This window comes from Homo sapiens, chromosome 12 (assembly GCF_000001405.40).
Source record: "Homo sapiens chromosome 12, GRCh38.p14 Primary Assembly".
Taxonomy (NCBI): domain Eukaryota; kingdom Metazoa; phylum Chordata; class Mammalia; order Primates; family Hominidae; genus Homo; species Homo sapiens.
Genome location: NC_000012.12, coordinates 52,896,345 through 52,919,507, shown reverse-complemented (window position 1 = coordinate 52,919,507; position 23,163 = coordinate 52,896,345). Strand labels below are relative to the sequence as shown.

The 23,163-nt window shown below is 52.2% G+C and overlaps 1 protein-coding gene and 1 non-coding gene across 5 annotated transcripts in view, besides 5 other annotated features; both read left to right on the top strand.

Moving 5' to 3' along the window:
• The window catches only part of KRT8 (keratin 8), a 52,670-nt gene extending 30,353 nt beyond the window's left edge, over positions 1–22,317 (top strand). For 3 of the 4 annotated variants that reach the window (NR_045962.2, NM_001256293.2, NM_001256282.2), the window contains exons 2-9: positions 14,481–14,850; positions 17,436–17,644; positions 18,289–18,349; positions 18,825–18,920; positions 19,443–19,733; positions 20,609–20,829; positions 20,989–21,047; positions 21,890–22,317. Coding sequence is in view for 3 of the 4 variants with exons in the window: in NM_001256282.2 (NP_001243211.1) it covers positions 14,481–14,850; positions 17,436–17,644; positions 18,289–18,349; positions 18,825–18,920; positions 19,443–19,733; positions 20,609–20,829; positions 20,989–21,047; positions 21,890–22,080 (1,498 nt within the window). In the remaining variant the exon portion in view is untranslated. Of the gene's footprint in view, positions 1–14,431; positions 14,851–17,435; positions 17,645–18,288; positions 18,350–18,824; positions 18,921–19,442; positions 19,734–20,608; positions 20,830–20,988; positions 21,048–21,889 lie in introns of those variants that run through there. The other variant, NM_002273.4, reaches the window with a different exon arrangement.
• Positions 468–967: an enhancer, noted in NCBI's record as "H3K4me1 hESC enhancer chr12:53312325-53312824 (GRCh37/hg19 assembly coordinates)". NCBI's record gives its function as "activates a minimal SCP1, AML or CMV promoter by ChIP-STARR-seq in primed H9 embryonic stem cells {active_cell/tissue: H9 hESC(primed)}" and the evidence as "EXISTENCE:reporter gene assay evidence [ECO:0000049][PMID:30033119]".
• Positions 968–1,469: an enhancer, noted in NCBI's record as "H3K4me1 hESC enhancer chr12:53311823-53312324 (GRCh37/hg19 assembly coordinates)". NCBI's record gives its function as "activates a minimal SCP1, AML or CMV promoter by ChIP-STARR-seq in primed H9 embryonic stem cells {active_cell/tissue: H9 hESC(primed)}" and the evidence as "EXISTENCE:reporter gene assay evidence [ECO:0000049][PMID:30033119]".
• Positions 15,492–15,661: a silencer, noted in NCBI's record as "silent region_4486". NCBI's record gives its function as "represses an Ori minimal core promoter by ATAC-STARR-seq in GM12878 lymphoblastoid cells {active_cell/tissue: GM12878}" and the evidence as "EXISTENCE:reporter gene assay evidence [ECO:0000049][PMID:35858748]".
• Positions 17,231–18,075: an enhancer, noted in NCBI's record as "H3K4me1 hESC enhancer chr12:53295217-53296061 (GRCh37/hg19 assembly coordinates)". NCBI's record gives its function as "activates a minimal SCP1, AML or CMV promoter by ChIP-STARR-seq in naive H9 embryonic stem cells {active_cell/tissue: H9 hESC(naive)}" and the evidence as "EXISTENCE:reporter gene assay evidence [ECO:0000049][PMID:30033119]".
• Positions 20,094–20,593: an enhancer, noted in NCBI's record as "H3K4me1 hESC enhancer chr12:53292699-53293198 (GRCh37/hg19 assembly coordinates)". NCBI's record gives its function as "activates a minimal SCP1, AML or CMV promoter by ChIP-STARR-seq in naive H9 embryonic stem cells {active_cell/tissue: H9 hESC(naive)}" and the evidence as "EXISTENCE:reporter gene assay evidence [ECO:0000049][PMID:30033119]".
• Positions 20,524–20,619, top strand: MIR9898 (microRNA 9898). The gene has a single exon (NR_162090.1). It is a non-coding gene; the product is annotated as a microRNA 9898 (primary transcript).

The window sequence follows — 23,163 nt, the reverse complement described above, 5'->3', positions numbered from 1 at the left end:
TCACTTGGGGCCAGCAGTTTGGGACCAGCCTGGTCAACATGGTGAAACCCTGTCTCTACTAAAAATACAAAAACTTAGCAGAGAGTGGTGGTACATGCCTGTAGTCCCAGCTACTTGGGAGGCTGAGACAGGAGAATTGCTTGAACCCGGGAAGCGAAGGTTGCAGTGAGCTGAGGTAGTGCCACTACATGCACTCCAGACTGGGTGACAGAGTGAGACTCTGTCTCAAAAACAAAAAAACAAAAAAGAAACCCATCATGATCACCATGGTTCCCAATCCTAATCACTACCACTGCCACCATCATTGGCAGGGAAAGGAGCCCTGGGTTGAGAGTTGGGGAAAGCAAGTGGGCGTCAGTAGGCAGGGCTCTGTTTGCATGGCTAGCTCCCTAGGAATTGGATTTGCAAGCTTCTGTTTTGCATAATGGCGGATTTTTACATGCTATTTCTTTATTACTATCCTATAAGCTCCTCCTTATAGACCCAATTGCCACCTCCTAGTTACCCTCCACCCTGCTGAGCTAGCACTTTCTTCCACTTGACCACCTACCCTGGGAAGAGGCAGCAGACACTGTTCTGTTCTGCAAGGAGGTTATTTCATGCAGGGAAACACAAGGCTTAAACTCTCACAAGGCAAATGTATCAAAGTGATGTGAACACAAGTTCCATGGGGGAGGGTGGTCTGAAGGTGGTGAGGGAATGGGGGAAATTGTGTGGAGAAAGGCTTTGGGAAAGGCTGGGGGACAAGCAGGGAGGGTTGGTGAGAGTCAAGCTAACATGTCTTGAAAACCTGCTATTTTAGGCACTGTTCCTTACCTGATGATCATGTCAGTCTTCTGAGGTAGTTGTTACTATCTGCATTTTCAGCTGGTGAAGTAACTCTTAACACCATTAGGAAGTGGCTGCGAAATTCTTCTGGTTGCACCCTCTGTCCTTTGGGTTTTGGTCACACATGGCTTTGGGGCAGCAGAACATGCATGGGCAGGCTCGGGGCAGCTGCACCTGCGCGGCGTCTGTCTGGCGGGGCTCAGATGCCAGTTCTTCCCTTCACAGCTGTGTGAATGTAGGCACTTTTCCATCTCGGCCTGGTGGGATCTTTATGAATTTAAATGAGGTGATGCATGCAGCGCATACAGTAGGCCTGCATGTTTCTGAGGCTCCAACAACCCAGCTGATACAGTAGAGGCCCCTTGACCTTCTGCCTGAACCCTCCTCATGAACTTCCCAGTTGACGCAGACTCTGTTTTGTTTCTTCTTCTTCTTCTTCTTCTTCTTCTTCTTCTTCTTCTTCTTCTTCTTCTTGTTCTTCTTCTTCTTCTTCTTCTTCCTCTTCCTCTTCTTCTTCTTCTTCCCCTTCTCCCTCTCCCTCTCCCCCTCCTTCTTCTTCCTCTTCTTCTTCTTCTTCTTCCTCTTCTTCTTCTCCTCCTCCTCCTCTTCTTCTTCTCCTTCTTCTTCCTCTTCTTCTTCTTCTCCTCCTCCTCTTCTTCTTCTCCTTCTTCTTCCTCTCCTTCCTCTCCTTCTTCTTCTTCTTCCTCTTCCTCTTCTTCTTCTTCCTCTTCCTCTTCTTCCTCTTCTCCTTCTCCTTCTTCTTTTTCTCCTTCTCCTCCTTCTCCTTCTTCTTCTTCTTTTGAGATGAAGTCTTGCTTTGTCATCCAGGCTGAGTACAGAGGCGCAATCTCAGCTCACTGCAACCTATGCCTCCCAGGTTCAAGCAATTCTCCCTGCCTCAGCCTCCTGAATAGCTGGGACTACAGGCACCTGCCACAACGCCTGGCGAATTTTTTTTTTTTTTTTTTTTTGAGACAGAGTCTCGCCCTATCACCCAGGCTGGAGTGCAATGGCACAATCTTGTCTCGCTGCAAACTTCACCTCCCGAGTTCAAGCAATTCTCCTGCCTCAGCCTCCCAAGTAGCTGGGATTACAGGCATGTGCCACCATGCCCAGCTACTTTTTTATATTTTTAGTAGAGACAGGGTTTCACCATATTGGCCAGGGTGGTCTTGAACTCCTGACCTCAGATGATCCGCCCCCCTCGGCCTCCCAGAGTGCTGGGATTACAGGTGTGAGCCACCACACTCAGTCTTTTCTTTTTTTTCTTTTTTTTTTTTGAGATGGAGTTTCACTCTTGTCCAGGTTGGAGTGCGATGGTGTGATCTTGGCTCACTGCAACCTCCACCTCCTGGGTTCAAGCAATTCTCCTGCCTCAGCCTCCCAAGTAGCTGGGATTACAGGTGTGCACCACCACCACACCCGGCTAATTTTGTATATATATATTTTTTTACCAGAGACTGGATTTCACCATGTTGGTCAGGCTGGTCTTGAAAGCCTGACCTCAAGTGATCCACCCACCTCAGCCTCCCAAAGTGCTGGGATTACAGGCATGAGCCAGTGTGCCCGGCCGCAGACTCTCTTTTCACAAAGCTCCAACTTTTGGGAAGTCCTTGATTACAGGGAGCAGAAGTCTCTCTCTGGGGGAATCCTTCCTATTGGTGCTGGTTATATCCCTTGGGTCACACCGATGAATGTCCCCTATTCCTCCAGGCAGTCCTGAGGTTCTATACACATTGGGAACCTCTTCTCCAGGGCTGGCACTCCCAGCTCCTGCGCTATGTCTCACTGGAATATGGTGCCCATTCTCCTCTCTATCCCAGGCACCTCCTTGCATCAGTCAGTCCTAAGAGTCAGACAAAAGCCATACCCTGCTCCAGCATGGTCAGCATGCGAGAAGGCGGGCTTGTCCACACTTGCTTCTGCTGCTGAGGACTGTGGTGGGTTTTGAGACAGCCTCATCGTGCTGTTACCAGAGTGAAGGGGTGTGTGTGGGATGAACCAAGCTAAGGAGGCAAGTATAAACTGCATGTTCAGGGGAGGGTCTATACATTTACTCTGGAGCATCTACTCTGGGCCAGTACCCTGCTGGGCAGATGCTGGCACTGAGACAGGAACCAGACACAGACGCTGGAGGAACCTGCTCTGTCTCCAAGGAGCTGTGTCTAAAACTGATTGGATGACACGATGGTAAGCCCAGTGGCTCATGGCAAGTGCATGGAACAGTCTAGCTGGAACAGAAGGTGCTAGGGTTCAGCAGGGAGCTGCTAGAAGTGCAGCTGAGTGACCTTGGACTCACGCCCATGCAGTCAACTGCCACCTCCTGTTGGTTCTAGCTTGAGTCCATCCCTATCTTCCTGCTCCTACCACACTGCAGGCCTCCAGACCTGCTTTCTGCAGTAGCCCCCTTTCTAGTCTCCTGCCCCTAGTTTTTGCCCCTACCATCTATCCTGAACACCCCAGCCAGCTTAATTTTCCTAAAGCACTGCTTTAAGCTCATCATCCTGCTCCTCCCTTCCTGCAGCCTGCAGAAAAAGCTCTGTCTGGCCTCTGAAACCCCTAGTCCCACCCTCCTCCCCAATATCTAGCTTTTCTACTCTTCCATAGGAATCCCGCTCCTGTCCAGTGGCTTATCACATTTCCAGATCTTTCCATCCATATCTTACTTTCCTAAGCTCAGCTTGATCTAAGGGCTCTCTCCTTCCCCTGAAGTCCTATAGCATACATCTGAATCATTTATTTATCTGAAATCAATATTCCGTTGATAAGGTACAGAAGGTAGACTTTGGCCAGGTAGTATTTGTATTTATAGAAGGGCTCGGTGTGTACACGGATATCTTTATACCTGGCTTCTCTGGTTCCACGTCTTTATTGGTGTACATTTTGGTTAGCATATGTAGTGAACATCTGTTGTTTCTGCCTGTCCAGCATTTGTTTATCTTTTCTTTTCTCTTCTTTTTTTTTTGAGACGGAGTCTTGCTCTGTTACCCAGGCTGGGCTGGAGTTCAGTGGTGGGATCTTGGCTCACTGCAGCCTCTGCCTCCTGGGTTCAAGCGATTCTCCTGTCTCAGCCTCCCAAGTAGCTGGGACTACAGGCATGCACCACCATGCTCGGCTGATTTTTTTGTATTTTTAGTACAGATGGGGTTTCACCATGTTGACCAGGCTGGTCTCGACCTCCTGACCTCAGGTGATCCACCCGCCTCAGCCTCCTGAAGTGCTAGGATTACAGGCGTGAGGCATGGTTCCTGGCCCTGTCCAGCATTTCTTCCTGGTCTTTTGGTGAATCACATTTTTTTTTTTTTTGAGATGGAGTCTTGCTCTGTTGCCCAAGCTGGAGTGCAGTGGCGAGATCTCGGCTCACTGCAGGCTCCGTCCCCTGGGGTTCACGCCATTCTCCTGCCTCAGCCTCCTGAGTAGCTGGGACTACAGGTGCCCGCCACCTCGCCCGGCTAATTTTTTGTATCTTTAGTAGAGACGGGGTTTCACTGTGTTAGCCAGGATGGTCTCGATCTCCTGACCTCATGATCCGCCCACCTCTGCCTCCCAAAGAGCTGGGATTACAGGCGTGAGCCACCGCGCCTGGCCCAAATCACATTTTTTTTCCCCTTTCTCTATAGGTTGGGTGGGGCTGATCACCCCTCCACAGGGTCTTGTTATGTGGTCTAGTCTAGTCAACATGATAGTATTCTATTCCCCTGGCCACAGGGATTGGTTCAGAGATGAGCATGTGACCTATATCAGCCTTGGAGAGTCAGCCCTGGAACTTCAGCAGGAAGCATCGGGAAAGAGGTGCTCCCTTAGTGGTCGCCCTTCCTGCAGCAGGGAGATGGCCTGCCCGAGGACGAAGCTAACATGGAGGAAAATAGCCAAAAGACAGGAAGAGAGTCTTGGTCCTGATGATATCACTGAGCCCCTTATCTGGCTAGGCTGAAAGCCAAATGCACCCTTGAACTTCTCAATTATAAGAAATGATCTTTTTATGCTTAAGTCTGTTTGAGTTGGGTTTCAGCCACTTGCAATCAAGAATGTGTATCCTTTGGCTGGGAGCTGGGGCTCACACCTGTAACTTTGGGAGTCACAGCACTTTGGGAGGCCAAGGTGGGAGGATTGCTTGAGGCAAGGATTTTTTGTTTGTTTTTGAGACGGAGTTTCACTGTTGTTGCCCAGGCTGGAGTGCAATGGTATGATCACAGCTCGCTGCAACCTCCACCTCCTGGCTTCGAGCAATTCTCCTGCCTCAGCCTCCTGAGTAGCTGGGGTTACAGGCATGCGCCACCATACTATGCTAATTTTTTGGTATTTTTAGTAAGGACAGTTTCTCCATGTTGGTCAGGCTGGTCTCGAACTCCCAACCTCAGGTGATCCGCCTGCCTCGGCCTCCCAAAGTGCTGGGATTACAGGCGTGAGCCACTGCACCCGGTGGATTTTTTTTTTGTTTTGTTTGTTTTATTTTTGAGACAGAGTCTCGCTCTGTCGCCCAGGCTGGAGTGCAATAGGGCAGTCTTGGCTCACTGCAATCTTTGCCTCCTGGGTTCAAGCGATTCTCCTGCCTCAGCCTCCCGAGTAGCTGGGATTACAGGTGCCTGCCACCATGCCCAGCTAATTTTTATATTATTAGTAGAGACGGGATTTCACCATGTTGGTCAGGCTGGTCTTGATCTCCTGACTTCAGGTAATCAGCTGGCCTTGGCCTCCTAAAGTGCTAGTATTAGAGAGGCATGAGCCACCTCTCTCAGCCTGAGGCCAGGATTTTGAGACCAGCCTGGGCAATATAGTGAAACCTCTGTCTGTATAAAAGAAAAAACAAACAAACCTGTAACCGTGTATTTGAGTTTGGATGTGTGTTATATATGGCTGTGTGTGCACAGGTATGTGTGTGACGTTCGTAGGAAGGTGGTGTGCACGGGACTCTGACGGGTGGTACACGCACATGCTTGTGCCTGAGATGAGGATGTGAGGTGGTACTGCACCTTGGCGTGTGCGTCAGGCCATGCAAGTGAGAGGGCAGGTGGGGTGTGTGTGAACCTGAGAGAGTGTGTGAGGGACAAGAGGGCGTGTGTGCTATAGGCTGAGGTTGTGTGCCCACAGGGTGGGGGGTGGGCCTGTGAGGCTGTTTGTTCTGGGAGATAACCCATCAAACATGTGTGCTTTGTATTTATATGGATACATGCATATAAAGACACGTGCTCAAAAACACCTGCTTATCATCATGCACCTCTGCCCTCCTGAAAATTCTCATTGTTTTCAGTCTGAAGCCAGATTCTTTAGAGTCCTTGAAAGGTACATAGAATCATAAAACTTTTGTTGACGGTGGTGGTGAAGCGGGGAATACCAGAATCAGGTTAGGGCCACCCTGCAATATCAGAGGAGGAAACTGACAGGTGTGTTGGGGCATGGCCAGATTTCACCAAGGTTGGAGTCATTGCTTCCTTCCACTCCAGCAGGTGGGGATGGGGTGGGCAGGGCTGGCCTTGGGGCGGCTCACTTTTGAGGAGCCCTGCCACCTGACTCTGCTCTCCATGGGCTGTGGTTGCTTTTATGGTGGGTGATTAACCTCGGCTGAGCCTCCTCTGATACCTGGATGTTTATGGCTTCCAGGTCTGATGAGTGCCCTTGATCCCAAGCCTCAACCCAAGGCAGGCAGGCCTTTAACTATCTTTTGGCTCCCCATTCCTTCCTGCTCCTCCCTTAGCTCCTCATTTCACAAAACCAGGTTGCTTTCTGCAAGCAAGCGCTTCCCAGCCAGGGTACCTGGTCACGCTGCCTGTGTACCTGGTCACGCTGCCTGTGCTAAGTGGCTATGACTGTGAGACATATTAGGCCATCAGCTCTCTGAGTGTCCACAGCCCCTGGCCTGACCACACCTGCTCTTCAGCAGACCCTTTCATTTGCCCCAGCCTGCCACACACGAATTATCATTTCATGGAGGCCATGGCCATGGAAAAGGCTGGGAATAGCCTAAACTGTGGCTGCCTCTCTGTGTCAGGTGGGATGAGACATGGAGGCCAGGCGACTGCAGAGGACCATCCCCTGCCCACGTCTTTTCACCAGTCCTATGCAACTTTGTCTTCTGTATCAGGCATGGAAGTGTCACTGGTCCCGTGGATTGGGAAAGCAAGAAAGGGGCCAGGCCTAGGGTGGGCATCTGTGCTAGGGCATGCAAGTGTGGCTTCTACCTGGGATGCTTTGTCAAGTTCCAGGGTGTCAGGACATTCAACAGTTCTGTCCAACCCCAAGAGTTGTGGGTTTTTAAAGGGATGACTGAGGGGTGTTTTCTAAACCATGAAGGGCTCTCTTTGTAAAGGGGACTTTTCCAAGAGGCTGGGGCTGGGAGGAGTGGGTTGCAAAACAGAGACTCAGAAATTTTCATCAGAGGTAAGACTGATTTCAAGCAACGCTGCAGTAAGGAATCTCCCCTCTGCTGCCTTCCCCACTGCAGGAGTCCTCCTGCCTTCTTGGGGGACCTTTGGGCCCAATGCTGTGACTCTGCTCCTCTTTCCATCAAAATGTGCCCGCCCTCAGTCCCTTTCCCTCAGACCTTGCCCTGTGGTAGGTGCCTGGTTGCTGCTCTGAGGACAGTCTCTTGGTTGTTAAACTGCCAGACCACTTTTTAAAAACACAAATACTTTTCTTTCCTTTTTTTGTTTTGAGACAGTGTCTCACTCTGTCACCCAGACTGGAGTGCAGTGGCACGATCTCAGCTCACTGCAACCTCCACCTCCCAGAGTCAAGCAATTCTCCTACCTCAGCCTCCCGAGTAGCTGAGACTACAGGCATGTGCCACCATACTTGGCTAATTTTTTTGTTTGTTTTTTGGTAGAGATGGGGTTTCACCATGTTGGCCAGGCTGTTCTGGAACTCCTGACCTCAAGTGATCCACCCACCCAAAGTGCTGGGATTACAGGCATGAGCCACCACGCCCGGCCCATACCACTTTTCTTGTTCTCCATCGTTATACTGGAAGTGTGTATAGTGGTTAGGAGCATGGAAAAAGAGCCACACTGCTGCATGACCTTGGGTATGTTTCTTAACATCTCTGTGCCTCATCTGGTAAAAATAGAGATTATGGCACCTACTTTATAGTGTTCTTACGAAGGTTAAATGAATTAATATTTGTAAGGCATTTTTTTTGCACTGTATGTGTTATTGTTACAGTATTGGAATAAGTGACTATATGTCTGTCTGTCTCCCCCTGATGTACAGTAAAGGCCATTAGGGACTTGATTCCCTCAGTGTCTTCCCAGCATGTGCCCAGTATATAGTCAGCCATCAATATGCTGATTTAATGATGAAGGATTACTGATGGCCACTTTTCTTTTTTTTTTGAGACGGAGTCTCACTCTGTCACCCAGGCTGGAGTGCAATGGTGCAATCTCAGCTCACTGCAACCTCCGCCTCCTGGGTTCAAGCGATTCTTCTGCCTCAGTCTCCCAAGTAGCTGGGATTACAGGTGCCCACTACCACGCCCGGCTAATTTCTGTATTTTTAGTAGAAATGGGGTTTCACCATGTTGGCCAGGCTGGTCTTGAACTGCTGACCTCAGGTGATCAGCCCGCCTCGGCCTCCCAAAGTGCTGGGATTACAGGTGTGAGCCACCACGTCTGGCCTGATGGTCACTTCTCAACAGGGACTTTCAGGAAATACCTTGCCTTGGTCAAAGGAGACTCCTACCTCCTTTGGTTTGAGAGGACCCAAATACTTCATCTCCTGAAATTTTTTAGACTACTGCCTGATAAGCAAATATGTGGATAAATGAAAAGGTGAATACAGGAAGGAATAAAGGCCTCTAGTCCCTGTCCCCAACTCCCACCTTAGTCCTCAGGTTGCCCAGCAGGAAAATCAAAACAGTGGGCCTCTGGATATCAGCTCCAGTGCTAAGCAGCTCAGGCCAGGGGAATCCTCAGGGCTGGGGTGGGGGTGGGCAGGATGCCTATAGCGGAGCCCCAGGTCCTTCCTGTTTGTTCTTTTCCTGCACTCCTGTCCGGTTGCCTGAACACCATGAGGGCTTCCCCTATCGCAATGTCAGCTTCTGAAGTTTCCTTGAAATCCTCTCAATAACTTCCACTTCCTGTCACTCAAGTCCCCAGTACCGCTGTCTTCACTGTCAGGAGTGGGACCCATTTGTGTCTGTCCTCTCGCAGTCTCTGTCTCTGTCTCTGTGGCCCTGGCCAACGGTGGTGGAGTTTCAGGTTCTGGGGACTGAACCACTCTGTTTTCCTTCCTGAGGGACAGAGTATATCACCCTTTCTAAGCAGGAACCTGCAGTGCTGTGGATTTGAGCTCTGGCCTATTTCCTCTGGGAAGAGGAAGAAAGTGTGTTCCTAAAGGTCTTGGTGTTGGGACCAGAGCTAAAGCCTGGTGCCTGACTCTGGCTGTACCGAGGAAGCTTTGAAAATGCAGACGGGGTGCGACCTGAGCACGTATACTGTTATAATCTCCCACGGGCGATCTTGATGTGATGGAGAACCAGAGTTAAGGGGAAGGACTCTGTGGACTGAGCCATAGCTGGGACCTTCCGCCTAGGCTTCATGCTCACCCAGTGGGATGACCTTCTTGGTTTGGCATCAGTGGAGAGGAGGGTGAGAGAATGTTGAAAATGTGAGAAAGGCTGTGTGCAGTGGCTCACGCTGTAACCCTAGTACTTTGGGAGGCTGAGGCAGAAGGATTGCTTGCATCCAGGAGTTCGAGTCAGGCTGGGCAACATAGTGAGATCCTGTCTCTAAAAAAAAGAAAAAAAAGTGTGGGAGACCTCAACATCTTCAGGCTGCTGGGCTTGTGTCTCCTTCCTCCACAACAAGGCTGTGCTGTCCTCCCTCACTCTTGTTCTAATAATTTCTAATCATATCTCTTATCACAAGCAAAATTTCAAACCAGAGAACATTCACAGATTTTCATCTTCAGTGCGTAAAGCTCTATGGTGGTGGATGTGGATCAAAAGCTTTCAGAGTTGGCGGGACTTGGACATTCTAATTCAAACCCTAGCAGATGTGAGAACCCCCTCCCACTGAGCCAGTGGACAGCTGGTGAGCAAGGTCCCTCTCCATGTCTCCAGGTACAGGAGGTTGCTCCCTCTCTAGGCAGTCCATTTCCATCCTGGCTGGCTTTAATCATCAGATCCATCACTGATCAAGAGCAAAAAAGTCAGCATTTGCTAAGCTTTGACAATGAAAAATTTTAGCCTTGAGGCACATAACACAAAATTAGCAATCGAATTGACTCTATTATTCATGATGCTGCTTCCTGAGGGGTGTACCCACCACCTGTGGCTTCCTATTTAAACAAATTGTTCTGCTGTCTCTATGCTAAATGCAGCTATTTCTATACCAATAATAACATTTCAAAATGCTCCATCATTTAAAGGGATTTCGGGTGCTTTTCGGGCATTGCCTTAACCCAGAGGCAGGAAGCCTCTTTACCTGGGGCATCTAAACAAACTCTTTGCTTCTTTCCCCTGACCCCTTATGCTGGGCACAAAGCCCCTGCTTTTTATATGTAGCTCATTTATGCTTTTGTGGTTATCTTTTTGTTACAACTTTGTTGAGCTGTAATTCACATACAATATAATTCAACAATCTGAAGCTTGCAGTTCAGTGATTTTTAGTATGTTCACAGACTTGTGCAGCTTCACCATCATCAAATTTGTTTATTTATTTATTTATTTTTGAGACAGAGTTTCACTCTGTCTCCCACGCAGGCTAGAGTGCAGTGGCACAGTCTTGGCTCAATGCATGCGGCCTCAACTTTCGGGGCTCAGGTGATCCTCACAACTCAGCCTCCAGGGCAGCTGGGACTACAGGCGTGTGCCGCCATACCTGGCTAATTTTTGTATTTTTTGTAGAGACGGGGGTCTCATTATGTTGCTCAGCTGGTCTCAAACTCCTGGGCTAAAGTAATCCTCCTGCCTCGACCTCCCAAAGTGCTGGGATTATAGGTAGAGCCATTGTGCCTGCCCACCACCATCAAATTTAGAACATTCTCATCACCCCAGAAAGAAACCCTGTGCTCTTTAGCATTCATCTCCATTCCTCCCCTCCCTAGGCAACCACTAATCTACTTCCTGTCTCTATGCTTTGCCTGTTGTGCACATGTCATATAAATGGAATCATAGGGTACCTGATCTTCTATGACTGTCTCCTTTCACTGAGCATACGGGTTTCAAGGCTCATCTGCATCCAACATGCATCAGTAGTTCATTCCTTTTAATTGTAACATTAGATCGTATGGATATGCCACATTAAAGAAATCCATTCGTCATTTGGTGGACATTTGTTTTGTTCCCACTCTTTGGCTATTATGAACAAGGTTGCAGCGAATGAGATCATCAGTCCTGATCTCTAAGCAAAACTTGTTCAGATCCCGGGAGGCGGAGCTTGCAGTGAGCCGAGATTGCGCCACTGCACTCCAGTCTGGGTGACAGAGCGAGACTCCGTCTCAAAAAAGAAAAAAAAAAACTTGTTCAGACCATCTCTTCCCATGATCATGAGTGATGATAACAGCTACCTCCCCACCCCACTGGCCCCAAGACTTAATGCCACTGCTCAGGGTCTCAGGGCCTTCTCTGAATTATCCTGCACCATCAGAAGTAGGGGGCCTGGCCCTCACTCTTGGCCCACAGGGAGTGAGTGTCTCCTCCTTCCCTGGTTCACTCTCCAGGAAAGGCGGTTTGAGGCAGAGTTGTCTGGGTAGGGCAGGCACCGCAAACACGTTGTTCCCTTTTGTCCGGCAGGCAGCTGTGTGTAGACCACAATGCCTTACAAGGAGTTGTACCTGTGGGCCTGCTCCAGTCTGGTTCTCTCTTCCCTCACCACTTGGCCCTAGTCCCAGGGGCCTTCTCCTTCTGCCTTTAACCCTGAAGTCCCAGGCAGGGGCCATCAGAGAGGCCAACTCTGGCCTCTTCTCCTGCACCGAGGCTGTGCTTGGGGCATCTGGGGGAAGGTTTGGCTGGGGTCTCTGGGCAATAGAGAGATGACAAATGAGACACAAACACTTCTGGCCCTAGACGGTTCTGGGCTGCCCCAGAAAAAAAGGGCTTCCCCTGGCTGGGTAAGGTCTGGGTCAGCCCTCCAGCCTGCATACTGCAGGGTCCCTGGCAACCCCCTCTGTCCTCACCTTAAACAAGGGACACTCCTAGAACCAGGGAACCAGAAAGGTGGGGTGGAGGGGACTGGAATTTCAGGAAAGGCTTTGGGGTGCTGTTTTTTTGCTCCTTGTGCTGCCTAGATCAGGACCTGAGTGCCCCCTGCTCCCTCTAACAGCAGCGTGGGGGAGGGAAGATAGGGAGAGCGCCTGTCCTCCCTTTCCAGGGCTGCCATACCCGTCTGACCAGCCCCTCCCTCCCTCCTTCCGCCTTCCCTGTCCCAGGTTTGGCACTGGGCCCAGTCCTTCTCCCTTTGGTCTTCTGTTAAAAGCTTCTCAGCCCTGGTGGGTGCGGGTGTTTGTTGGGGAGGGGGTAGCATGCCTTCCAATCACTCTTGGGAAAATTAGGCATTGTTTAAAGGAGCTGGGAGAAGGCCTGGTGTAAATAGGTGCTAACTGAATTTCCCTTGCTCCATTCAGCATAGCAGGAGGCAGGGCCTGGGGAGGGGAGGGGAGGTGAAGGAGCCACTCACTGTGCCCGCTCTTGGGATCTATGCATTTTTCTGGAAGGGACTTCAATGTGTGGGGTGTGTGTGTGTGTGTGTGTGTATGCACGCGTGCATTGTGAAGAGAGCTTGTCTGTGTGTCTGTCTTTTTAAGTTTGTCTGTCCTCCAAGGAGGGGGCTTCTGGGTCTCTCTGTCCTTCTGGGTAGGGGTCCTATGTGCCTGTCTTTCTGTGAGCCTGGGTGTCTCTCCTAGAGAAGGATGGGGAAGAAACTGTACATCTGTCCTCCCAGTAGGTGGTCACCCCCTTCCCTGGGTCAGGGCTATGTCACCTGTCCCTCTCCTCAAGGGGATCTGGCTGTCATCTGTTGGTCCTCTGAGTTCAGTTTCATCCAGTCCCCACATCACACCCTGCAGTATCTTCCAGAGAACCCAGCCCCAGCCATCAGGTAATTGCAGGTGGAATCTCTGCCTTGGGGACCTAAACCTCCTGCCTTCCACCCACAGCATGCCCTGCCTGGCCCCACCCAGGCCTGGGGTGCCTTGCTCAGCTCCCCAATCTCCAACCTCCCACAGGTGCGTGCTACGTCCCAACCTGCCCTCCTGACTCACTTTGATAATGGGAGACAGGTGCAGGGACTCTTCCTCTATTTCCTCTGGCCCGTTGGGAGCCTGGGTAAAGCAGGAGGGTCCAGGTAGCACCACGAGTGCCACACCACTCCACTGTACCCCCTGCCGTCCTGTCTCACTTCCCATGATTCACTCACTGGGAGCAATGGGAGTGACTCCCGCAAAGAGCAAGAACTATGAAGTCCCTGACATAGCTCCCATCTCCTCTTGCCCCCCCCAACCCCTGCGTTCTCTGCCTTCTAGCCCTGTTCATCATTCTCTAGGCCCTTCAGTGAGGCCTACAGTGTTCACCTGGCCCAGGGGATCCTAGGATCTTGGAAGGAGAGGAAGCCCCTGGGTTATGTTCAGGAAAAGTGCTGTGTTGGATCTCGCTCTTTTTTTTCTTTGAGATGGAATCTCGCTCTGTCGCCCAGGCTGGAGTGCAGTGGCACGATCTCAGCTCACTGCAACCTCTGCCTCCCGGGTTCAAGTGATTCTCCTGCCTCAGCCTCCTGAGTAGCTGGGATTACACCATGGCCAGCTAATTTTTGTATTTTTAGTAGAGATGGGGTTTCACCATGTTGGTCAGGCTTGTCTTGAACTCCTGACCTCGTGATCCGCCTACCTCAGCCTCCCAAAGTGCTGGGATTACAGGCGTGAGCCACCGTGCCTGGCCTTGGATCTCTTTTTATCTTGCACCTTCAGATGTAGAGGGACGACAGCCACTGTGTGTGTATGTGTATGTGTGTGTGTGTGTGTGTGTGTGCGCGTGTGATGTTTATTCACTCATTTATTTATTCATTCATTCATTCCACAAATATCTACCCAGACCCTCTTGGCACTGCACCAGGTGCTAGGGGTAGAACAGTAACCTGGAAAGATGAGGCAAATGGTTGATTTCAGATTCAAGGCTTTGGACTCCAGCTGTTCTGTCATCCAGCTCAGGCAGGCCCTCATAATCGCTTCAATCAGGGAGAACACAGGAGAGTTTCTCTGGGGTGTCGGCAGCTCAGAGGAGACCCAAATACTAGGAGACCCCTTTTTCCCATGCTTCCCAGTCCTCCAGTTTATTTCCCCCAGGAGGGAGGGAGACAAGACCCAGGAGTCAGGGTTGTAGTGGCTGGGCGGCCCAGGCAAGTCTGCTTGTTACAGGCACTTGTGCCAGGACAGGATTTCTTCCAGTTTCATATTCACTGAACTGCCTTTTCCTGGGTTTCTGGGGGTGGTGCTGGAGTGGGCTCCAGGGTTGGAACGGGCCCTTGGGTGGCGGCAGCTCTCTGCTGCCCCCACCTGAGTCCTGCCCGGAGGTGGCAGGTGACGGGTTAGGCCCAGCCCCCTCTGGGCCTAGCCACTCAGGTACGAGGCCTTTCCCCCCCATCCCCCGGGGCTGGGATCTCTTTTATAAAAGGCCATTCCTGAGAGCTCTCCTCACCAAGAAGCAGCTTCTCCGCTCCTTCTAGGATCTCCGCCTGGTTCGGCCCGCCTGCCTCCACTCCTGCCTCTACCATGTCCATCAGGGTGACCCAGAAGTCCTACAAGGTGTCCACCTCTGGCCCCCGGGCCTTCAGCAGCCGCTCCTACACGAGTGGGCCCGGTTCCCGCATCAGCTCCTCGAGCTTCTCCCGAGTGGGCAGCAGCAACTTTCGCGGTGGCCTGGGCGGCGGCTATGGTGGGGCCAGCGGCATGGGAGGCATCACCGCAGTTACGGTCAACCAGAGCCTGCTGAGCCCCCTTGTCCTGGAGGTGGACCCCAACATCCAGGCCGTGCGCACCCAGGAGAAGGAGCAGATCAAGACCCTCAACAACAAGTTTGCCTCCTTCATAGACAAGGTGAGGGTCCCCCCTGCGTGGCTGACTGTGCCCGCAGCCCCTTTCTCCTGGTAGTCCCGGTCCCTATGCACATCTCCAGCCCCCAGCTGGCGTCCTGCTGGGCCTCACCCGCCCTGGCGACACTCTCCCTTCCATCCTCCGACTCACCCCTCCCGTGCACCTTGGTTTGGGCTGGGTGAGGGTGGGGAGAGGGTCTGGACAGCCGGGATGAATCCTGGGGCTTCCTTCTTCCCTTTTAAACTGGAGGGTCTTGGAAGAGAGAGACAACTTAAGGGTACAGCCTAGTTCCCACCACCCCTCTCTACAAATCCCGTTCTTCCTCAGGTCATTCTGTCCCCAAATTATAAAAAATAATAGCGGTTATTGTTCTCACCCCAACCCGAGTTCTGACCGTCTTTTAAGCTATCGCCCTGCGGCAGTCCCAGCTGTTCGGGGACTACCCTCCTCCAGGTTCGCCTCTTCGCCAGCACTACCCCAAGGGCTCCCCAGTGGTGCCTTTGTGATTTTTTTTCTTTCTTTTCTTTTTTTTACATAGGGGTTTGGTGTGATTCTAGCATTCTAGGAGAAGGAAGTGGGTGTCTCGGTTCAAACGGGCAAATATTGATTGAGGCCTTTGGCGCCCGGAGGCCTGAGTGCGGGGGTCACAGAATGAGTCATACCCCGGCCCCTGCGCCGGCAGCGTGGGCGGGGCCGAGGGCGGGGTGAGGGGCTGCGGGCAGCAGTCTCGGGACGCTCTCCTCCACCTGGCGGAGCTCGGCGTCGGGGGCGGTGTGGGTGGGGTGGGGTGGGGTGGGGTGGGCTGGGGTGGGGTGGAGGAGGCGCCAGGGCCTGGCCTCGGAAAGCCCATGCAGGATTCAAAGTCTGCGGGCGTGGGACGCCCCGCCCGGGGTTTACGTCCTGTTAAGTTTATGGCTTCAGATAACGCGGTCGCCCACCAACGCCCCTCGCCCATTCAGCCCGTGTCCCTTTCTCGCGTCCTGTCCCTGCTCCGCCCCAGCGGCCTGGCTCCACTTTCACACAGCAGGAGCCAGGCCGGGTTTTGCAGCCCTGGGACTCCGCTGCCTGAGGGGCCCCGGGCCCCCGGCGGCCCCGAGGATTGGGCCCTTCACGCTGACTGGCTCCTGGGAGGCATTGTGGGAACGGGAGGAGGGAAATCCTGGGGCAGAGTAAGCCGGGAGGAACCGGAGCCCCAGGAACCCAGTGGTCGGGGGCCCTTGGCGCTCCAAGCGCCTGGACTTGACTTGTTGACTGCGTTTTGCTAGCCCTGGGGTCCTTATAGAGAGCAGCTAAGCATAGGCTTTGGAATCTGAATTCTTGGTTCGCACTGCTCTGCCGGTTCCTGGTTATGGACTCCCTTGCCAAGTCTTATTTCCTCATCTATAAAATGAATATGAGAGCCCCTAAATCCATATAGGCAAAAGTTTTTGCCTATTCAAACTTACATATGTAAAGAGTTCAGCAGTGCTTGGCCCACATTCCATTAGGATAAGATGTTATAATCACTTTTTTTTAAAAAATAATTTTGGGGCAGAATGACCTGGGGAAGAAAGCGATTTGCAGAGAGTGGTGGAGGGAACTAGGCTGTACCCTTAAAAGATTTCTGTCCCCTCCAGTTTAGAAGGAGTTACAAGTTTTTTTGTTTGTTTGAGACAGAGTCTCACTCTGTCGCCCAGGCTGGAGTGCAGTGGTGTGATCTCAGCTCACTGCAACCTCCGCTTCCTGGGTTCAAGCGATTCTCCTGCCTCAGCCTCCCGAGTAGCTGGGACTACAAGTGCGTGCCACCATGCCCGGTTAATTTTTGTATTATTTGTAGGGACAGGGTTTCAATATGTTGGCCAGGCTGGTCTCGAACTCCTGACTTCAAGAAATCCGCCTGCCTTGGCCACCCAAAGTGCTGGGATTACAAGCGTGAGCCTCCACGCCCGGCCTCTTTTTCAATCTTAACATCTTTAGAAAGGTTGGCTATTTTTGGCCGGGCGCGGTGGCTTACGCCTATAATCCCAGCACTTTGGGAGGCCAAGGCGGGCCAATCACAAGGTCAGGAGTTCGAGACCATCCTGCCTAAGACGGTGAAACCCTGTCTCTACTAAAAATACAAAAAAATTAGTGGGGCGTGGTGGCAGGCAGGTGCCTGTAGCCCCAGCTACTCGGGAGGCTGAGGCAGGGGCAGGAGAATGGCATGAACTTGGGAGGCGGAGCTTGCAGTGAGCTGAGATCTTGCCACTGCACTCCAGCCTGGGCGCCGGAGACTCCCAAAGAAAGCTTGGCTATTTTTATTGATGTGTAATATACAACCTATGTAAATGAAGTTAGGCCTATTGGTTTGCAAATGCAGCTTTAACATAATTACCTTACCTGTCTCCTTCCCCTACCCAATGCTGAGGGACATTGCTCCCCACCTCACCATCATGCCATGCTTTCTCCCCCTGGTCATAGGTGATCTTTCCAGAACAGCTAACCAGGTGCCTGGGGTCTGGAGACCTTACTGCTTGAGGAGTGAATTAAGAGAAAAGACTGCTTGCTTTCCTCCAGACTTTGAGCCCTGGCCTGATGTAGACCTTTTTGCTCTCTCCTCCTTCGTATAGGTACGGTTCCTGGAGCAGCAGAACAAGATGCTGGAGACCAAGTGGAGCCTCCTGCAGCAGCAGAAGACGGCTCGAAGCAACATGGACAACATGTTCGAGAGCTACATCAACAACCTTAGGCGGCAGCTGGAGACTCTGGGCCAGGAGAAGCTGAAGCTGGAGGCGGAGCTTGGCAACATGCAGGGGCTGGTGGAGGACTTCAAGAACAAGTGAGCAACTCCCACCCTCCACCCAACTGAAGTCACCGTGCTCTCCTCCACCCCTTGGGACCTTGGGACTAAGTCCCCATGGCCCTCTGTTGTGGGAAGTGCAGTCCTATCTAATTAGGGTGACCACCTGATGAGGTTTGCTCGGAACAGTCTGTGTTTATGCCCAGGTTCCTAGCACAATTGTTGATAGTACCCACCCCCTTTCAATCTCAACTGTCTGGATTTGAAGAACAAATTATGTGTCAATGTTGACATGGTAAACCTGAGACGGGAGAGATAGGCAGCCTGTGGGCCTCACTTTTGTACTTAACATTCTGGCCCCTCTTTAGTCTTGACCCTTGACCTCTAGCAAACTCTAGAAAGTTCTGTCTGAGGTCTCATGTCAGGCCCTGCTGTTAACACTCTCAAGGTGTCCAATCCGATGTGTATTCATGGATTTGGAGAGAGATTTCCTGCTTCCCACGGGCTAAGGGAGGGGTGAGGGTGGAGAGGGCAGCTGGGGAAGGCAGAAGGACCAGCCTTCTCATATCCTGCATCTCTGTGAACTGAATTTTCCTGATTTTCACAACGCCCCTGTCTCCCAAAAGACCAAGGGCAACCTCCCTTTTGCCTTCATCCTCTAATTGTAAGTCTTTTCCTCACAGGTATGAGGATGAGATCAATAAGCGTACAGAGATGGAGAACGAATTTGTCCTCATCAAGAAGGTGAGGGAGTCTCCCTTCTCCTATCTGGACACTGGAGGCTGGGGCTCAGAGACTCAGACCAAGAAGCTTTCTGGGTTTTGTCCCTAAATATTCCTAAGTAGTGGGACAAACTCATTTATGTAAACATTTGGGTGCACAGAAAGGTAGACAAGGATGGAGTGGTAGGTGCATTTGGACAGAACTCTTGACATCGGTGTTGGGACATGGTTCAGAAAACAGAGCAGTAGAACTGGAGATCTGGCTCTAGAAGGCTCCCTAGAGAAGGAGGTGGAAGAGGGTGTGTTGCAGGAAGCAGAGGTGAAGGTGTGTGGGCTGAGAATGCACATGTGATGGGCAGAGGCTGGGCTGGAAGATCAATCCACAAAGTGGGCAACTAGAAAGTCCTGTGACCAGGCCATTGGGTGGACCTTGGGAGCCCCTTGGTTGGGGTTGGGTGTGGAAACCCAGCTCAGGCTCCCCTCTCCTCATCCCCCAGGATGTGGATGAAGCTTACATGAACAAGGTAGAGCTGGAGTCTCGCCTGGAAGGGCTGACCGACGAGATCAACTTCCTCAGGCAGCTATATGAAGAGGTATGTTCCTGGTCGCAGGAGAGTGAGGGTCCCCCAGCCTTGTCAGCGCCTCCACCCTGAGACTCAACCAGAGGCTCCTCCCAGCCCCCAGCACACTAATAAGACAAAGGCCCACTGCTGACTAATTACAGCCACCAATATTTGCTCGGCTAGTATTTATTGGGTCTATATGTTCTGTCCCTCGCATGAGGGATGAGTCATTACCCCATTTCACAGACGAGAAAGTGGGCTCAGAGAAGTGAAATAACGTATCCAAGGTCATCATAGGGTGTGGTGATTCAGCAGCAACTCTGTCCCCAAAGCCCTTGTTCCTAATCTTTGAGCTGCATTGGATCCCTCTGTGCACCTAGTATTGGTGCACCCAGTTCCTTTTTCAGGAACTTTGCCCTCTCCCTGACCCTGACTCCCACCTGCTCCTCTCCTCTGCTGCCCCTGTCTTATACCCTAAGAAAGGCTGTTGTGGAAAAGGGGGCTCCCTGTGTGCAGAGACAGGGCCTCACCACTTGCCCTCTTCCCCCACAGGAGATCCGGGAGCTGCAGTCCCAGATCTCGGACACATCTGTGGTGCTGTCCATGGACAACAGCCGCTCCCTGGACATGGACAGCATCATTGCTGAGGTCAAGGCACAGTACGAGGATATTGCCAACCGCAGCCGGGCTGAGGCTGAGAGCATGTACCAGATCAAGTATGAGGAGCTGCAGAGCCTGGCTGGGAAGCACGGGGATGACCTGCGGCGCACAAAGACTGAGATCTCTGAGATGAACCGGAACATCAGCCGGCTCCAGGCTGAGATTGAGGGCCTCAAAGGCCAGGTATGGGCCGGGTTGGGGGTGGGAGGGGTTCCTTGGACACATCCTGGTGAGAGGAGATAATGTAGGAAGAGTGAAGTTTCTGGGAGTCGGGGAAGGAATCCTAGACCAGGGTTCAGGAGTTGGAGGGGCAGCCACAGTTCAGCTTCTCAGTCTGCTTCTGAGAAGCAAAGGGATGCAGGGAAGGTCCCTTGGGCCAGGACAGAGGTGAAAGGGGACTGGGGCAGGTATGTTGGGGCTCGTGATACATGCTCCCAAGCCTGCTTTAATCAGTCATATGCATCAGGGTAAGGTTGAGCTCTGCTGCTTTAAGGAAAGTCTAGAACCCAGGGATCTAGTCCAGTTAGGGTAGGGGGACCTTACAGTGTCGCAGGTGAGAAGGGTGTGGAGGGGAAGCACCTGGAAACTGCTCATGTCTCCCTGATCTGCTTCCTTAGTCTCGTTTATTTATTTATTTATTTTTGAGACAGAGTCTTGCTCTGTCGCCCAGGCTGGAGTGCAGTGGCGTGATCTCGGCTCACTGCAAGCTCCGCCTCCTGGGTTCACACTATTCTCCTGACTCAGCCTCCTGAGTAGCTGGGACTACAGGCGCCCGCCACCAGGCTGGCTAATTTTTTTTGTATTTTTACTAGAGACGGGGTTTCACTGTGTTAGCCAGGATGGCCTCGATCTCCTGACCTTGTGATCTGCCCGCCTCGGCCTCCCAAAGTGCTGGGATTACAGGCATGAGCCACTGTGCCCGGCCCTTAGTCTCATTTAATTTGAGCTGGGGGGAGTCAGCCTAGGTGGTGGTGGGGAGGACCCTGAGGGAGGGTGGGAGCACGGGAGAAGAGAAGGCATACCCAACCTGACCTACTTACCTGTCCCCTACCCCACAGAGGGCTTCCCTGGAGGCCGCCATTGCAGATGCCGAGCAGCGTGGAGAGCTGGCCATTAAGGATGCCAACGCCAAGTTGTCCGAGCTGGAGGCCGCCCTGCAGCGGGCCAAGCAGGACATGGCGCGGCAGCTGCGTGAGTACCAGGAGCTGATGAACGTCAAGCTGGCCCTGGACATCGAGATCGCCACCTACAGGAAGCTGCTGGAGGGCGAGGAGAGCCGGTGGGTGTGGGTACCTCTGACCGGACCTGCTTCCCTATCCCTGGGACCTGGGGTGGGGACGGTGGGAGCCCCCTGAAGCCCCTTGGGACTTGGGGTCCTGTTGTTCTGGGCCAAGAAGGGCTAGGAGTTGGTCCTGACACCCCATTTGTCTGGGTACAGGCTGGAGTCTGGGATGCAGAACATGAGTATTCATACGAAGACCACCAGCGGCTATGCAGGTGGGTGTCCCAGGGCCCTGGGATGAGGGCGGGAGGCAGGGCCCAGGGAGGCCTCAGCTCCAGGGAGGGGGCTGTGCTCAGTCGCTCACAGTGACCTCAGCCTGAGCACTCATGTTCTTGGGAGAATCCTAGGGTGGGGAGGCACATATTCAGGACCCCAGTAATAACTTTATTACTTAGTAACTTTACTATTAGAAAGCACCCAAATAAACCATAGCTGTGTGCCAGGCACTGTGCTAAGTATCCTACAGGTTTTATGTGATTTATTTTATTTATTAATTTAATTTAATTTTTTTGAGACGAAGTCTCGCTCTGTCACCCAAGCTGGAGTGCAGTGGCGTGATCTCAGCTCACTGTAACCTCCACCTCCTGGGTTCAAGAGATTCTCCTGCCTCAGGCCTCCCAAGTAGCTGGGACTACAGGCGCATACCACCATGCCCAGCTAATTTTTGTATTTTTAGTAGAGACGGGGTTTCACTGTGTTGGGCAGGCTGGTCTCGAACTCCTGACCTTGTGATCAGTGCTGGGATTACAGGCATGAGACACTGGGCCTGGCTGTAATTTATTTTTTATATGACACCTGTAAACGTCTTCAGTTGAGGAAGCTGAGGTGCAGCTAAATGTCCAAGGTCACACAGCTATATATATGGCAGCTGTTTTCCACCCTGCTCCTGGTTTTCCCTGACAGTTCTGGAGTAGTGAACCATGCAATCACTGATCAGGCAGAGCTGGGTTAACCTCCCATCCCTGGGGCTATGTTGGGAATGAGCAGGGAGAAGGGGCATGGAGCCTGCCATGGGGTGGGCTTCTGTACTCATGTGGCTACCTCTGTCCCTCACCAGGTGGTCTGAGCTCGGCCTATGGGGGCCTCACAAGCCCCGGCCTCAGCTACAGCCTGGGCTCCAGCTTTGGCTCTGGCGCGGGCTCCAGCTCCTTCAGCCGCACCAGCTCCTCCAGGGCCGTGGTTGTGAAGAAGATCGAGACACGTGATGGGAAGCTGGTGTCTGAGTCCTCTGACGTCCTGCCCAAGTGAACAGCTGCGGCAGCCCCTCCCAGCCTACCCCTCCTGCGCTGCCCCAGAGCCTGGGAAGGAGGCCGCTATGCAGGGTAGCACTGGGAACAGGAGACCCACCTGAGGCTCAGCCCTAGCCCTCAGCCCACCTGGGGAGTTTACTACCTGGGGACCCCCCTTGCCCATGCCTCCAGCTACAAAACAATTCAATTGCTTTTTTTTTTTGGTCCAAAATAAAACCTCAGCTAGCTCTGCCAATGTCCTTGCTTGTGTGTGCATCTGATGTCCACTGGGGTGGGAGGGAGGTGGTCAGGAGGCCTCTTCTTGGGACTGAGAAGCTGGGAGGGGTCCAGGAAGCAGGGGGTGCACAGCGGGAAAGTCTGACCCCCTCAGCTGTTCCTAAAGAGGCTCCTTTATTGAAACCTGGTTGAAACCTTGCTTGTTGCCATAGATATCTACACCTGTATAATAGTCATTGACCTGTGCACAGTGCTTTCTGGTTTACAGTGTGCTTTCAAATCCCAAGGTTCATGTGATCTGTGCAGCAAGGCTCAAGAGGCAGGCAGAGCAAGTTTTTGAGGGCATTATCAGCAGAGAGCTTAGTGTGCTTCCCCTACACCTTGGCATCAGGACTATCTGCATATAAGGAAAGCCAGGCTCAGAGAAGCCAAGTAGTTGGCTCATCTAGAAACTAGCAGATTTGGCATTGGAACCCAGAGCTGTCCAGCTCTCAGGCTTGTACTCCTCCTTGGCCAGGCACATGGCCTTTCCTTGTGGCCAGACATGTCTTTTTATCACCTTCAATCTTTGCAGTCAGGGACTAAGGCATCCTGGCTTTTCCATCCCCTCAGAGGTTCAGAGTCTATTCTCAGCCATTGGGTGTGTCATACCCACAATTTCTAGAAGCTAGAAATTGTGGGACTTGGCCCTTCCCCACTCCACTCAGTCACAGCCACCACCCCCTTCCTATCCTTTTTACAAGCTGTGTGTATGATATAAAGGGCGTGTGTGCATTCTGTGTTTGCATGTGGAGGGTGTACTGTGTGTGCATGGGTGTGCACAGTGTGTGAAGGGGTCTGCCTGACTCTTGAGACAACCTCCAAG